At 57.1% G+C, this 3,006-nt stretch overlaps 1 pseudogene, besides 1 other annotated feature; it reads left to right on the forward strand.

Annotated features, from left to right (window-relative positions):
• On the forward strand, window positions 298–1,296 carry OR10AH1P (olfactory receptor family 10 subfamily AH member 1 pseudogene; annotated as a pseudogene).
• Window positions 1,130–1,288: a silencer, noted in NCBI's record as "fragment chr7:5157553-5157711 (GRCh37/hg19 assembly coordinates)". NCBI's record gives its function as "represses an EF-1alpha promoter that drives an FKBP-Casp9 reporter gene in an ReSE screen in both phorbol 12-myristate 13-acetate-treated (for megakaryocytic differentiation) and untreated K562 erythroleukemia cells {active_cell/tissue: K562 | K562(+PMA)}" and the evidence as "EXISTENCE:reporter gene assay evidence [ECO:0000049][PMID:32094911]".

A 3,006-nucleotide genomic window follows, 5' to 3' on the forward strand; every position in this document is an offset into this window, starting at 1 on the left:
AGGAGGTGGGATAGAACTGGGAGGGTGGGTGGCTACGTCTGAAGGAGACCCCTGGGTGCCTGGAAGCATGCAGGGCACAGCACAGCAGCTCCGGCCATCTGAATTTCCGGGGAACATTGGACTGGGGGAAGTGAGGGGTGCCCAGGATGGATTGAGGGGAGGATTCTGGGTTCCTGGGAGAAGGTGGGGACAGAGTGAGAAAGGGTAGCCCTCAGAAGGCTGGGCGTGGGGTTCTGGGGCCTAGGACAGGCAAAAGGCATACAGGTGTCTAGGAGGGAGGTGTCACAGTGACACCTCTCCAGCCTGCACTCCTGTCCCTGCCGCAGACCCCAACGCGAGCTGCTGGCCTGAGTCCAATGGGACAGCCCTGCAGGAGTTCGTGATCCTGGGCTTCTCCGTGTGGCCCCCGGGGCTCCGCGTGCTGCTCTTCGTCCTCTTCTTGCCGCTCTACCTGGTCACCCTGGCGGGGAACCTACTGATCCTGGGCCTGGCCCTGGTGGACCCCGCCCTGCACTCGCCAATGTACTTCTTCCTGGGGGCGCTGTCCGCGGCGCAGGCAGCCTACACGCTGGTGCTCACGCCACGCATGCTGGCCGGCTTCCTCCTGCCCTCCAGGGGCCAGGCTGTGGACCCCTCTACCTGCGCCGCCCAGATGGGCCTCTTCGTGGCCCTGGGGGGCTCCGAGTGCCTGCTGCTGGCTGCCATGGCCCTAGACCGCTACCTGGCTATCTGCCATCCACTCTGCTACCCTCGGCTCATGACCATGGACGTCTGCTGGGGCCTGCTTGGCCGCCTGCTGCGCGGGTGGCTCTGTCCTGGCCCTGGGCCTCACCGCGGTCATCTTCCAGCTGCCCTTCTGCCGCGGCGGCCTGGTCAACCACGTCTTCTGCGACCTCCCGGCCGTGCTGGTGCTGGCCTGCGGGTGCCGGGCCCTGCAGGAGCGCGTCCTCCTGGTGGCCTGCCTGCTGCTGCTGGTGCTACCCCTGCTCCTCATCCTGCTCTCCTACACCCGGGTGCTGGTGGTCATCCTGGGTGTTGGGGGGGTCGCGGGCCGCCGCAAGGCCTTCAACACGGTGGCGTCCCACCTCACCGTGGCTGTGCTCCACTACGGCTGTGCCACGGCCATGTATGCCAGGCCCCTGAACAGCCGTTCCCTTGAGGAGGACAAGCTGGTCTCGCTCATCTATATCAACGTCACCCCGCTGCTGTACCCGGCCATCTACACGCTGCGGAACCGGGACATGCAGGAGGCCCTGCAATGCATGGTCGGCCAGAGGACGCTGGGGATGGCCACCAGGTGGATTTTGCCTGATGCTGGGTGCCAGGCGGTGTCTGTCCTGAGATTTCTCCCACTGAGGGGAATCTCACCATTCTGGAGCCATCTAAGCCTCCCCAACGCCTACGGGGTGTAAATCTAAGTATAGCACGCAAAGACCAGCAATCCGACTCCAGCCTAGCGCTGCTGTGTCCGTTGACGTCTTGCGCTGGATGGTTCTTTGCTGTTGGGGGATGTCCCATGCGTTACAAAGTGCTCGGCCGCGCTCTGAGTCTTTCTCTATTCACTGGATGCCGGTGGCACCCTCCACCCCACTACCCTGTGTGATAATCAAAAATGTTCTTGGGCTTGGCGCAGTGGCTCATGCCTGTAACCCCAGCACTTTGGGAGGCCAAGGCAGGAGGATCTCGAGTCCAGGAGTTTGAGACCAGCCTGGCTAACACAGTGAAACCCCGCCTCTACAAAAATTGTCCAGGTGTACTGCTGTGTGCCTGTAGTCCCAGCTAAGTGGGAGGCTGAGGCAGGAGGATCACTTGAGCCCAGGGGGTGGAGGCTGCAGTGAGCTATGATTGCAGGACTGTACTCCAGCCTGGGTGACAGAGCAAAGCCCCATCTCAAACAAAAAAATACCTCCTGAAGGGCCCATTTAGGAGCCAGGAACCTCAGAGGCATGGTCAGTGCAGGTAACCTCTGCCTACCTAACCACCTGGCTGGTGGATGTGCACGCCTATCAAGGCTGATTGGGAAGAATTATGTCTACTCCAGTGAGGAGCACCAAGAAGGAAGCTGACAATGGCTTCAGGAGTCTTGGGAAAGAGGAAGAGTCTCTTCATACCATTTCCATCCTTATCTGTGGCTTCTTGAGGCTGGTGTCAGGAAACCTGAAACACAAAAGCCCTAGCCCTGGAGCAGAAGAGCCTCCCAGCCTTCTCCCCAAATGCTACCGGTATATGGAACATGATCACCCCTAAACAGATTTAAGACAGCTGGTTTTTTTGTGTGTATGCATTTTGCTTTGTTTTGTTTTTTTTTTGTTTTTTAGATGGAGTCTCACACTATTGCCCAGGCTGGAGCGCAATGGTTCGAACTCAGCTTACTGCAACCTCCGCCTTCTGGGTTCAAGCGATTCTCCTGCCTCAGCCTCCCGAGTAGCTCGGATTATAGGTGCCCACCACCATGCCCAGCTAATTTTTTGTATTTTTAGTAGAGACGGTTTCACTATGTTGGCCACGCTGGTCTTGAACTCCTGACCTTGTGATCCGCCCGCCTTGGTCTCCCAAAGTGCTGGGATTACAGGCATGAGCCACCACACCTGGCCTACGACAGCTCTTTTTAAGGACTTTTTTAGAGCAGTTTAGGTTCACAGCACAATTGAGAGGAAGGTACAGAGACATCCCATTTACCCCTGTCCCTGAACAAGATGCACTTCACTGAGGTTATGTTAGATTCCAGAGAAACATTGGTTGAGGGACTCTTCTTTCCAAAATATTTTTGCTTCCAAAAGCTGTTTCAAACACCACAACACCAAAACCCTGTTTTGGGTTTTTTGGTTTTTTTTTTTTTTTTTTTTTTTTGAGACAAAATCTTGCTCTGTCATGCAGGCTGGAGTGCAGTGGTGTGATCTCGGCTCACTGCAACCTCTGCCTCCTGGGCTCAAGCAATTCTCTTGCCTGAGCCTCCCAAGTAGCTGGGATTACTAAGATTACGGGCATGCACCAGCATGCTCGGCT

The sequence above is a fragment of the Homo sapiens genome, chromosome 7 (assembly GCF_000001405.40).
Source record: "Homo sapiens chromosome 7, GRCh38.p14 Primary Assembly".
In the NCBI taxonomy this organism is placed as follows: Eukaryota; Metazoa; Chordata; class Mammalia; order Primates; family Hominidae; genus Homo; species Homo sapiens.